Source organism: Homo sapiens, chromosome 6, assembly GCF_000001405.40.
Source record: "Homo sapiens chromosome 6, GRCh38.p14 Primary Assembly".
NCBI lineage: Eukaryota > Metazoa > Chordata > Mammalia > Primates > Hominidae > Homo > Homo sapiens.
In genome coordinates, this window is record NC_000006.12 from 99,146,297 (window position 1) to 99,160,461 (window position 14,165).

A 14,165-nucleotide genomic window follows, 5' to 3' on the forward strand; every position below is an offset into this window, starting at 1 on the left:
TTGATTTGATAATATTTTGGTCTCCCTAATTCAACATCAGACAATCAAATCTCAAATTTATACTTCCGAAACAATGAAAATAAACACTATACCCAGCATAATTGTCAAGATTATGCTCTAACAGCATCCGTGAAACCACGAAATGAGGCAGTACACAAGAACACATGAGTGAGGGGAATTTTGGGGACAGAAGACACAACCTCCCAATAAAAGGAAAGATTGCAAACTAAAAAGTAAGCTTTCCAAACTATTTGCAATGCATGAGTTTCCTGGGATAAGAAAAACCTAGCTTTGAGTCTTTGTGATTATTAATTTTTTTAAAGAAAAAAAAGAACTTTATTTAAATCAGGCCTTTAGCAGGTTGGCTGAGCTCATGGAAGCCTCGCTCGGCCTGCAGATGTCTGTCTGAGCTGCCACATGGCAGGAACTGGCCCTGGGGGTCTCAGGGGCCCAGCACAGGACCCAAAACTTCTTATTTTGGTGTTGGTTCCAAAACTCCCCATCCCTTTCCAGTTCATTACAAACACCTATTGTTTGCCATATTTATCTGCCATCACTGCTGTTTGTTAGCAAATGGAAAGAGAACTGCCAGGACTAAATTTCAGCCTGCCCTCAGAATAGTGCAAAGGCGCTACAGGAATTGCACGACAGATGGTCTTTGAATGATATACAGAACCTCTGCCCTTGGGCCCGCTTTGGAGGAACTGTTTTGGATTGTTGCTCGTAAGAGTGGGAGGTTGTTGTGTGATATGTGATTATTCCATAATAATTTTAATTATTTTGCCTGTTTTCAAACAATAGTCTCAGCCTTTTTTAATTTTTACACTCACTGAGTTGTGACACGAGCATTCTTTCCTCTGTGTTAGCAGGGATTAAAATCAAGCCCTGTATCCCTTCCCATTTTTCAAATAATCCATGTTTAAATAAATTACCTCAGTCTGGAAAACCAAGTTATGTGGCGTCCTCCTGGCATACACACTAGCAAGGAAAAAAATTCCTTATTGTGGTGTCTGGTTTGAGATTGTCGCAGTAACAAGTTTCAAGAAAAGCCTGCTCTTTGCCTCTTTGGAGTGAGGCTCTGGCTAAGGGAGCTTCATTTACATGCATGTGGGGATCCCATCGGATCTGTTCAAAGGTACAGTCCGAGGCAGTCAGATGGCATCCAATGTGCATGTAAATGAAGCTCCCAAAGTGGGGTGTAGGCTTCTGGAGAGATGCAGAAAATATGCCATCCCTGTCTCATCCAAATCCAATAGAAACTTCTGAATGTTTTCTAAAGTAGCAAGAGCCAACGAGAAGCAGATGCTAAACTTTCAACGCATCTGAATACATTTCTCTTTACCAGATAGATTTATTGGCTGAGCACAGGCAGAAGAGGTTTGGGGTCAGAACCTGAGCTTTTGGTGTCTCGGCCTGGGAAGCTTGCAGACGCCAACTTGCATATCCCAGTGGTTCCAGACCCAGAGAGTCTCTGGAGGCCAGCAGCAGCCTGCAGCTCTCACCATGCTGGCAATTCCCAGGCCACCAGAGGCTACATAAAAATATAAAATCTACACTGAATCTAAACCACAGGAGGATCTAGGGGTGAGTTAATACTTACAAGTTAGCTTTTTTACAGAACACAAGAATGTGTGGCTTTACTTGGAGTTTGTTGCTCCTGAAATTCTCCCCAATATCTGAATTCTGTGTCCCCAGATAGGCTTGTGGTTCCAGTCCTACAGCTGCAAGCCAAATCAAGCTTTGGACAATTTCCAAGCTGAATGGTCTAGCACTTTGATAATAAGAAAGAAATTCTGCTTCTCCTTGGTCTCCAGCTAAGTGATATAGCTACCTGGAAAACAGAACTCTGGTGAGCGGGTTTGCTAGAAAAAAAGAAAAAACAAAACTCTGACCCTGTTATTTGATAGAGAAATCCCCCATGGAGTCTTAAGTGCTTCCCAACAACTGTGGTTTTAATCCAATAACAGCAGCTCCTCTAACAGAGAGAAACCCAACTCACACAGCAGTTAATACCCAAATGAAATTCAGATATCTCCCACTGTGTTGACAAAAAGGATTGGGGAAATGTCCTCTGCTCCTTCCCAAGGAAGACGTGCCTTTGGTGAGATCCAACCAGCCTACTCTCCTAGAAAATAGCCACACTGCTTCCTCACAGCAAGGGCTGGTGTGCAGAGATTTCTGCTTATAGAGAGCACAAATTCTCAGAGAAAACATATAAATTCATGTTTAGTGCCTCGAGGAGCCAAAACTACTTATCTTTCAAGGCATGGAGGATTCACCTAAGGAGGACTTACCCAGCTTGCTGGAGTATAGTGGCTTTTCTAAGAATGCTGTTGCTGAAAATTTTCATTCAGGTGTATGATTGAAACAACAGCTCTGACTATATCAGCTATCATAAACACTGGAGAACTGTGTTCTCAATAGATCTGAAATAGACACACTTTAAGTGTATTTGTTTATTATAATCAGGTTTCCATATAGGTTATTAAGTTCCCATACAGGCCAGGCCCTATATAAGGTATTTTATATACATTATCTCTATCTTTACAACAACCAGGATGGTATTCATTGCCCTCATTATATAATTTCTAATGAGGGCAAAGGAGTCTCGTGTTGTTTAAATGACTTAACAAAGGTCATACACAATAAATAGCTGAGTCAGGATGTGAAATAATGTTTGATTAATTTCAAGGGCCATATTCTTTTCACTGATGTATGTATGTATGGGGCTAGTGGTGGAGCAGGGGGAAATTCATGTATGGCACATTGCCTTATGAAAATAAATGCAAATTTCAGCATATTTTGACTCGAGGGAGGATACTATGTATATCCTCAGTGCCTGACATGTGAATTCTTAACAAATACTTATTAACCGGAGTATTCCTTCATAGGTATATAATTGACAAGTAATTGTTAGTCTTAATCACGTAGGCTTTATCTGCTACTTCCTCTTGGTCATTTCACATGATGTTTACCCTGGTGGACCTAAATCCTGGAGTCTCCCTGGTTGGGCAAAAAGGACTCAGCCAACTTAAGTCCACATGGACCAATTCCAGGTGAGAGATACTATCAGTACCTACTCCTGAAATAAATTCAACAATTATCGAATAAATACCAGCTGAGTAACCACCAACTGTACCCAAACTCATTTCTTTGGACAAAGAAATATGGTTAAAAAAATACAGTTATATGTCACTGATTAAGATAAATTCTAAGAAATGCATCATTAGGCAATTTCATCATTGTGCAAACATCATAGAATGTAGTTGCACAAACCTAGACGGTTTAGCTGCACATCTAAGCTATATGGTGTAGCCTATTGCTCCTAGGCTACAAACCTCAACAGCATGTTACCGTACTGAATACTGTGGACAATTATAACACAATGGGAAGTGTCTGTGTATCTGTGTATGTTTTCTAAACATAGAAAAGGCACAGTAAAAATAAAGTATTAGGTTGGGCATAGTGGCTCATGTCTGTAATCCTAGTACTTTGGCGGCCAAGGAAGCGGATGGCTTGAGCCCAGAAGTTCAAGACCAGCCTGGGCAACATGGTGAAACCCCATCTCTACGAAAAATATAAAAATTAGCCAAGCATAGTGGCATGTGCCTGCAGTCCCGGCAACTTGGGAGGCTGAGGTGGAAGAATTGGATGAGCCCAGGAGGTTAAGCAAGCAGTGAGCCATGACTGCAACACTGCACTCCAGCCTGGGTGTCAAAACAAGACCCTGTCTCAATAAATAAATAAATAAACAAACAAACAAATACAGTATTATAATCTTATGGGACCACTATCGTATATTCAGTCCCTTGTTGACTGAAATGTCATTATGTGGTACATGGCTATAAATAAAATAAAAATAACTTAAGCACAGAGAGTTCTAATAACCTGACAAAAATATATTTTTAACCATACAAGAAGATAAGGAACCCATGATTTTACATTCAAATACCCAACTGCATCTTGTGTTTTGTAAATAAATTCTCCTTTGCCTTTGTATGTAATTCACATGACTTAGAAAATAACGTTGTTTTAATATAAATATACAAAATAAATATGATGATGTGCTTCAAGACAACCACTGGAAGATTCCATTCAAAATGGAAAATCAATAGTCTATATCAATAGCAATATGAGTATCATTGAAACGTGCATTTTTAAAAGAACAACTACATTCAAACATCAGCCATTTTGTCACATTTCTTGAGAGCTCTTCTTTTTTTTTTTTTTTAACAGCAGCAGTCAAAAGAGTGACACTCTGTTGGGACCCCAGGACCGCCATGGATGGCAATCTTAACAGTTAAAAGATTGTACAAAGTGGTTTTATTCTGACACACATGTGAATTAGGCTCAAGTATAAAGGAAAAATAAATGGGAATTAGAGAGCAACTCACAGAGGCATTTCAGTTGGGAAGAAAATACCACCATTAAGTCCCAAATGCAATTTATGAATACAGTATTTGAATTTTCTAATTGTTTCTACAAAAAAAAGAGGCTAATGGAATTACATTGGAACCAGTCATTTAATCATATACAAATTTGCTGACCAATGTCTCTGTACATCCAGTACTGAGCTCCTGCTCGTATCTGTAACCTTGCCAAATTTTCAGTCCAATAAGAGAAAGCTTTTCCTTTCTTTTTTTTTTTTTTTTTTTTGGTTTTTTGTTTTTGTTTTGTCTTTTTTTTCAACCCCTGGGTAGGAATGGAAGAGGCTGGTGATTCCAAGGACTCCATGTTTCATGGTCAAATAGGATCAATATGACACAGCTGCCAAGGACATGAAGCAGGAAGGGGGCCCTGGAGATCATCTGTGCCAGTAGTTTCGAAATCAAGTAGTTGTCTAATCAAAAACCACTTTGAATCTACTCCCCACATTGCCCACCCTTCTCACCTCCAGTGGTCTAACATGCACTCTGCAAGGAGTAGGAGAAAAGGAAGTCTCCCTTGCATAAGCTGCCACACAGACAAAGTTGGGTATCTCTGAATCAAATGTAATTTACTTTATACCAAGAACCCATGAATATATACTTTTGTATGACCATTTTTAAATTTTGTAACAGACAATCTTGTAAACCTCCCAAAGGCTTTTACCTAACACTAAATATGTAGGCCCAATCTGTTCTCAAAATTTCACATGTATGCTGCTCCTGAGCTCAGTTCCATGTGGTGAAAAAAAGTCATTCATTCTGGTATTCATTAAATTTCAGGTATGCCAAGGAGTGAGAATTCATCTTCAAAAAGTGTACTGTCTGGTTAAGACAGAAGCATGATAATGATTACAGTTCAAATTGAGAATTGGTATGTAACAAAATTTCCCCTAGTATAACCAGTCTGTGTACTTCACCACAGACTCTGTGTACTTCGCCACAGAGGCTCCCCACACGAAGACCTCAGTTATTTCATGGGGGCCCCAGATAACTTCCATCTCATCAGACACAGCTTCCACCACTACTGCTCTTCTGGAGTCTAGAGTCTCTCCCGTGGCTCTGCCAGAGCCGCTTCCACAACACAGCAGGCCACACTGCTCCTCCACACCTCTGTTACCCTCCCTCCTCGTTCAAAATCTTCTTGATGCCAAGGCCAGCCTACGGTCTGTGGCAGAGTAGGAGGATGCAACCCTCTCCTGTCTGTGTGTTACTATGTTTCAGGTCCTAAAGAAGTTTTACAGAATTTAGTGAAGAGCCACTTGTGGTCTTATTTTATACATCCATAGGCTTCAGACCCATAGGTCTGAAGGTGAGGCCAGTGTGAGTTTGGCTAGAAAATAAATCCAAGCCACCCTCTGCTGGCTGTGTGGACCTCACCAAGTCTGCCTGAATCCTGAGAGAGGACAGAGCTTGACTTCTTTTCCCAGGAGGCTTCTTAGCCTCACGCTAATACATTTCTGTGGGGTCTCCCTCCCTCAAGATCGCAGATACACCTTGACGTATGTGACTTCCTCTTTGGCCGCTGGAGGGCAGCACCAGTGGAAATGTGTAGGGAGTGCAGCTGGGACCCAGAAAAGGCAGCCAAGTCTGTAAATCATCACCACGGAGATGAGACTTAAAAGATAAAGTTGCACTTTATAAGTCAATCAGTATGTGAGGTGCGGGGTGAGATGGCAAGAAAAGAGAGGAACCGTCAGTTCAAAGGCTTGGAAGAAAAAAGTACTGTGTGTTCAGGGAAATAGATGTCCACCAGCTGAAGCACAATATTTGATGTTAGGAGAGAAGTAAGAGATGAGACCAGAAAGCAGTAAGGATTTAATCATACAAAGTCTTTATGGCACATAAAATAATTCGGTGTATCCTGTTTTTTTATGGCAAATCTTTGTGGAACTGAGCTGGACAATTACTTGATCACATTTATGCATCAGAAAGATCACTGCGCTAATAGCGCAGATGATGGATTTGAGGCCAGACAGACTAGGATAGGAAGAGACAGGAAGGTCCATAGGAAAGGGGCTGTAGTATTCAGGCAGGAGATATGAGATATTATGGCAGGCAGAACTCTGAGATGGCCCCAAGATTTCTGTCCCCTGGTGCCCATGTCCTGTGTAACCCCCTCTTATAGAGTGTGAGTGGAACCTGTGAATAGGATGGATTTCATGTTTGTGGTATGGCAAAGGTGAAGGGATTTTGCAGATGTAATTGAAGTCCCTAATCAGCTGATTTTGAGTTAACCAAAGGGGAAATTATCCAGGATGAACCTAACCAAATTGGGTAAGGCCATAACAGAGTATCTAGAGGTCAGAGACTGGAAGCAGCAGGGAGATTCTCCTGCTGGCCTTGAAGAAACAAGGTACCATGCTAAGAGAGGGCCTGTGAGGGACCACGTGGTGAGGACCCTTGGGGGGTCTCTAAAAGCAAGGAGCCAGCAAGCCAAGCCTGGACTCCTGACCCAAATAAACTATGACATTATAAATGTGTGTTGTCTTAAGACTCTAAATTTGTGGTCATTTGCTATGCAGCAATAGAAAACAAATACAATATAGGTAGCAAGACACAATTGAGTATATTCAGGGGAGAAAACTGACAGGAAGTAGAGTTTGAGTTGATGTGGGGAAAATGGATGACTTGTAAACAGTTTCATTTGGACTTGTTGAGCTTGCTATATCTGTAGGACATTCAGGTGGCCATGTATGTCTAGAATACAATTGGATGTAAGGGTCTAATGCCAAAGGGAAGCCAAGGTTCAAGCCAGGATAAGCAGGCCAAACTCCAGTGTCCAAATCTAAGAGGTCAAACAGAAGTGAGAGCTAAGGTCTAGAGCCAAAGCAGGCAGAGTAGCCACAATGGCCAATGAGCATGGAGAATGGAAGCAGGCAGGTGGGTGGAGGAGGGCCTGGGGAAGCGCCTGAAGGTCTCTCGGGAATCCAGGTACTTGTGTGACTGCTCCAGAGGGTTTGATTCTGTGTTGTTGTTCTTGTCGTTGTTGTTCATAAGAAGCAAATAAAATTAGGGAGGCTAGACTGTGATCACCAGAGAAAATATAAGAAGGGAAAGAAGAAGGTGAAGGATGAAGCTTGAGGGCACCTCCATTTTCAGATGACAGGAAAGGAAAGAGGAATTTGCCTTGAGACGGAGAAGCAGCAGCCCAAGAGATAGGAGGAGGACAAGGAGAGGCAAGTGTCACTGTAAAACCCAGGAAGGAGAAGTTTCCAGGGGACATGCTCACCAGCCTTGAATGCCATCACATGAGAGGAGGGCTGGAAATGCCCATAAGATTGCAAAGCGGGAGGCATTTAATGTTAGCAAAGTTTAAAGTTGAGTCCCAGTGGCCACATTGTAGCAAATGCTTTACTTTCCTCATCTGTAAAATGAAAGTAAGAAATGAGGGCAAAACACCTGCCTTATTTTCCTCACAGTTGTAGAAATTCTCCCCTTCCTTCTTCCCCTTTGTAAAGGCTCAAATGTACCTTCATGGGTCTAGGGAGAGTGGATCTCGACCTCAGTTAGGTCACCAGACCTGCCCTGAGCTGCTTCATCAGGTTCCCCAGGACTTCAAGCTAATTCCTTTCCAGAGAAGCATGCAGACCAAATTGCTGACCAACCATCTTTTAATTCCCAAGAAGTACAAGAAATGAGAATACAGAAGGCGGGAATCTCACTTACCTTTAAAGGAACATTGGCACTTTATTCAGCACTAACTTTACTGGAAAACAGCTGAGAACCAAGAAACAAAAGAGACCTGTGAGCAGCCAACATCTACACCACAGAGCCCACCCTCATTAATGAACCTTATGAAAAAGGATCTCCTAGGCTCTTTACTCTGAGCCTAGCTTTCCTCTTTGGAAATTCTAACAGGCTTAGTGATGTGGTTTCCAAATGAATAGACCAATAAAAGGAGCAAATTAAAAGAAGAGGACTAGAAGAGGCACATCAGTAACAGTAATGAGTGACAGCTGATGGGTTAACAGCAAGGGTAGAAATGGGGGAAAAAATAACTATAGAAGGCGAACAAAAGAAGTAAAAATCACAGGAGCTTAGGATCATTTAGCACAGAATAAAAATATTCTACATAGTGCAACAGACCCCTGAGGGCACTAGAGCTCAGCATGATGGCCTAAGTCATCATTTCGAAAAAGTTAAACTACATTTGATATAGTCTAAAAAGGCAGAGACATTCATAGAGGAGACTTATGGCTGGTCCATTTATTCCTTAAAAAGTATTTCTTAAGGAGCAGCCATGTGCCAGGCAGGAAGACATAAAGGAGCAAGAAGATGGCCTCTGTCTGGAGTAACCCTCAGTTATTCAGAGAGATTGACTTCCTGCAAGGTTCCCTTTGGACAGCCCTTAGAGAGGACGTTCATTAAAATATCAAGGTTCTTGGAAAATCTAAATGATCCACACTTCCCTCATTGGCAAAATCAGATCAATTCTATCTCGAGTGGATTGATCACTTCTGTTGAAAAACAACAAGAAGATAATTTGAGTATGATTCTCCCAGTATAATGGCTATCTACTCTTTGGTTGGACATAAAAAACACCTTCAGGAACAGCAATGATTTTTTATAATAGCCAGACAAGAGTACTTTTATGTACTTAAAGTGCATGATATTTGTTTCAAGTCATTAATATAAACCCCAAAAGTGTTAAAAGTTAAAACCAAGAGGTAGCTTAGATCTAGGGGGAAAACCTGGCTCTTTCTGATCAACATACCATCTTTTTGGAATCCTACAAAATAAATTCTAAGCCAATGGTTCCAAACTGCAGGTGAGACCAACTACATCAGAATCCCAGAGCCTGAGCCCTGCCACACATCTACGGGGCTAGAATCTCTTGGGATGGGTCTCTGGCATCCATCTCTCCAGGTGATGCTGACAAGCAGCCAAAATCCCTTACAGCTCTAAAATTCCACTGTCTTCAATGTATCTAGTGTCAAATCAGTAAAAGACAATTTCCCCATAAATACTATAATCCAAATACAATGAAAACAAAACCCAAAGGCCGGGCACGGTGGCTCACACCTGTAATCCCAGCACTTTGGGAGGCTAAGGTGGGTGGATCACTTGAGGTCAGGAGTTCAAGACCAGCCTGGCCAACATGGTGAAGCCCCGACTCTACTAAAAATACAAAAAAATTAGCTGGGCCTGGGGGTGAGTGCCTATAATCTCAGCTACTCGGGAGGCAGAGGCAGGAGAATCAGTTGAATCCAGGAGGCAGAGGTTGCAGTGAGCCAAGATTGCACCATTGCACTCCAGCCTGGGCAACAAGAGCAAAACTCTGTCTCCAAAAAACAAAAAAGAAAACTCCAAATTTTCCATATTAAAATTTAATCTTGTAACTAAAGATGAAGAGCTAATATTAACAAGAAAAACTGAATTTATGGTGTTTTCCATAATTTTGAGGTCTACAGATTAGAAAAGTGAGGGACTAAGCTAAAAATATTTCAAACAAAGTTATATTTTAGCTGTATCATCTTTATGTCATCATTCATGAACCCTCAAAGTATTAATAATAAAGTTACAGGGAACCTGAAACTTTTTTTGTAAAAATACAATATCAAATAAAGCTTGTCAGACTTTAGAAATAATGCCAAGCCTCTCCCTCTTCTCTCTCTCTCTCTCATTTAGGAGCTATTAAAGTTTCCTGCTTTTGCAAACCCAGATATGATGTGAGGATGAAAGAAGAAAGATTCAGCAGCCAGAAATTGTCTCATTAAATAGGATATAGGGATCCTGTGGAATGTATTGGGTTAGAGAGAGTGACATTATATGTAATTAAGATGTCTAGTGTTTATTTCAGCCCCCAGGGGATAGATGCAAAATATCTAGCTATTAATAACAATAGTTAAATAACCAACTTCTTGGATTTCAGAGTTTTATTTTTTGTTTTGGTATTTTTGTTGTTGTTGTTGTTGTTGTTCGTACTGAGTGTCTGTTGCCTGGAAAACTCTGAGATGTGAAGGGAAGATTACCTAATTTAGGATCAAGTGTTAATTTCCAAGCTAGATGGCAAGATGATACTACACTTGCTTTCTGCCTTTTCAAGGACGAAATCTCCTTAGTGCTCCTTTCTCACCAAGAACAAAATGAGGGACCTAGAGATTGTGGTGACTGGATACCAGTGACATTCCAGTCTTTGGCAGCTGGAGAATCTAGCATATCCTTTTCTTGCCTGGTATAAACTCTATGTAAGATTTCCCTGGGCATTTGGTGTAAAGAACAAATTGGTGAGCCAACAAGCACCCTCTATACACAGAGCACTGTGTCAGGAGCTACGGGAGACAGATATTCTAGCACAGTAAGAGCATGGCTTCTGTCTTCAAGGAAATTAAAATCTAGCTGGGGGAGAAAAAAACCCACAAACATCAATTAGGGAGTTGTATGCCATAATTCATGATTAAGTAATAAATTAATGTCATAGTTGTTCAGAGAAGGAAAATTAAAATGAGAATAATGGGGAAAAACTTCATGGAATTCATGCACTTGGGTTTTGAAGGATAGTAGTAGAACTAGTCTCAAGTGCACACACAAGGGGAAGGACTGGCATTCGTGCATGGAGTTACATGTGTGTAAAATGACCTTTATGGCTTTCTTTTCACATATTTTTATTTTTCCTTCTTAATTAAAAAAGAAGCTTCTATGCCCATGGCCATGACTTAGAAATATATATAAAATAAGGTCGCTGATTTAACAAATTTGGCATGCTTATTCTCTAGACAATTTTCAATTCTTCCTAGGTTTCAGGAAGCAGCAAATTGGAAATACTAAGTGGGAGAAAAGTGGGAAGTCTGCTGTAATTAAACAGGCTGGTAACAGAGAGCAGTAACTACTAATAATGATAGATGAAACAGAACAACAGAGGCTCAGCAATCTGGGCCCATTTAATGTTGGGTAAATACAACCCTTCTCTTCCCACCCACCTTCAACAGCCCCCAGATGCCATAGCTTCCTAGAATGTACTTTCTCTACTGATTCCAATCTCCTTTCCTTTTTTTTAAATAAAGAAAAATAAAGAGGGGAAAAGAAGAGCCATAAAGGTTAGTATGTTTATTCATTAATTTGTTTGTTCAAGAATTTTTTGTGAGCACCTACTATACTGCTTAGGTGCTAGGGACACAACTGTGAACAACAGACAAAGTTCCTACAATTTTGGGTGTTTTATTCCAATGCAAAGGAAATTCTCCATCTTATAAGTTTTTAAAAGAATGAGGTAAACAAGGCTTTGGGAGATGCCTTGGCTCAAATTCCCTATGAGTTAGTGAAAGTCAACCTGGATCGCTTTAAGAAGAAAAAAAAAAACAAAAAACCATATCTCACAGGGAAAATTTACCATTCTAATATTGAGTCTGCACAGTAGCCTTTCTCTGCTGGTTTACTTTCAAGAATGTTCTTCCTTGTCTTTCCAGTTAGCAATCTAGTTATCTTCTGCATTATGGAGCTGGTCTTCCTTGGCTCTTTCTTCATCTCTCTTACCTTGACTAGAGAGAGGTTCTCTTTTCCTGCATTCCCCCATTTTGTGTGTTTTCCCCAAACTCCAAAAGGTCACAGACCTAGGCAATTGTGAAATCCAAAAGGTCTGATGGGCTAAGAACTAAGGTTCTCAATTACCTCTTTGGGCCGGCCCCCATCCTAAACAGGAACCATGGAGGACTCCTAGCCTGAGTGCACTTCAGGGGCTAAAATCCTGTGTTCTAGTTTGTGAGCTTGTTCTTTTAAAAGGGAAACCTAGGACTCTTTTCTTTTCTTTAATGAATTATTCTAGTTTTACTTTGAGACCATAGCTCCTGTTTTATTTTCAGTTGTCATTTTCCATAACTCGTTTTAGAAATAAAAATGGGAAACGTTATCTAGCCCCTAGGAAGAAATATGTACATACATTCAAAAAGCAGTTTCATGCAACCTTAATAACCTGAATTCTATTTCCCTTTCTGTACATGATGGATGAAATTACTTTGATTATGCTGGCTTTCCAATTACTCATTCATGCCAAGAAAGCTAGCCCTTGAAACCTAGTCACCTTGTTTATTTCTTTCCCACCTTGCCCTTCACAATCAGAAAATCAAAGAGCGCTGGAGCTGGAAGGAGCTTCCGTGATCCCCAAAGGAAGGATTAAACTTAAAAGTCATACATATTGATTGACCCGAGTTTTCTAAAATTAAACCTGAGTAACTATTTCAATACCAATTTTTAAGCTGTAAAAGCTGATTTTGAGGTACAGAGGTTTGAGTGGTATGAAAGGCCTAGTAAATATATAACCTGGTTGCCAAAGGGTTTCTACTTAATATATTAGGAAAAGATGTATTCCCATTGCGTTCATTTTATTCCTTAATCCAAATCAGTGGTTTTCAAACTGTGCTCCTTGGAGTGTGAGGGTCTAACCTCCACAGAGGGTGAAGAGGGACCAATTTTGGAAGCTCCACACCCTCTGCCCCTGCTTTGACCCAGAGACCTCTACTTTTTCTCTCCCTTATAGGTTGGGTTCTCAAGTATAATTTCATATAAATAAAGCTGCCTGTTACTACCAAAAAGGAAAAAAATGTTTGCTAAGAAAAGGAAATGAACTTACAGAAACAGAATATACACAAATAAAATATGAAAAGTCAACCATAATCATAATTTTTTCAGAAACACATGGACTGGAACTAACAACAACTGATTCTGGAATCAGCATTGGGCTGGCCTTCTGGTATAAAGTTCTTATGACTGGTTCTTCACCACCAAACACAAGGGCACACCACTAACTGCCCCAAGAGCCAACCGAAAAGCCATAAACACGTCTGGCTACTTAGATGCAGCTCTGCTAATCTGCTTATAGCTTATAGCTTATAGCCACTAGTTCACTTATTCATTCGACAAACAATTAAGGCCTCAAAAATGAACAGGTGATGCCTGGAAGTAACAAATTTTTAGTAGTAGTAGGGAGACAGACAAGCAAACAATTAAATTACAGTATTTAAAAAAGGATGACCTTCATCTTAATGGGGTATATACAAAGTACAATGGGAGCCCAGAAGAGCCATTTCCTAGAAGGATCAGGGAAACCCTCACAGAAGAAGCCTCAGCAGCATTCCTGCTGAAAACACAAAGGTGAACCATTCTAGGGAAGGAAGCCTGGCAGAACAGACAAACAAGTACCAGATTATGAGGGTCATACTGTAAAAAAGACTTCAGAGTCTATCTCTCAAGATATGGGTAGCCAATAAGTAATTGACCTAGCATGATTGAATAAAGAAGAATTCCTCATTTTCCCAGCAATTATTTTTCCCTTTAGCCCATTCATGTATTCAATAAATACCAACTCTGGGCTAATCACTGCTCCAGCCATAAAGAAACCTTGAAGTTGTCTAAATCCTCTGAAGCTCCAGATCTACAGCCCCCAACCAGCCTTTCAGGGTGAGCCACTCCTTGGATATTGGCTCCAACTGCCCAATCATTCCCTGAGCAAACAGTCTTACCCATTATTGCAGTTGGCATCTGGTATTGGGATTTTCCACCAAGAATCAGCAATGGAATTTTTTTAACTGCAGAAATAGATAACTCAAGTAAGGAAAAGAGTTAAAAAGGAGGCTCTTGAAAACATTTAAAATAGCTGCTCAGCACTGAAAATCAGCTTAAGGGATGGCAAATGCAAATGCAAGCTCAGACAGGCCCAGCTCAGTTTTGCAAATCCTTTGGTAATGAAAATAGATCCACACTTTAATTTTTCAAACCATAAACCTCCCTGAAGCAAGTAAGAAA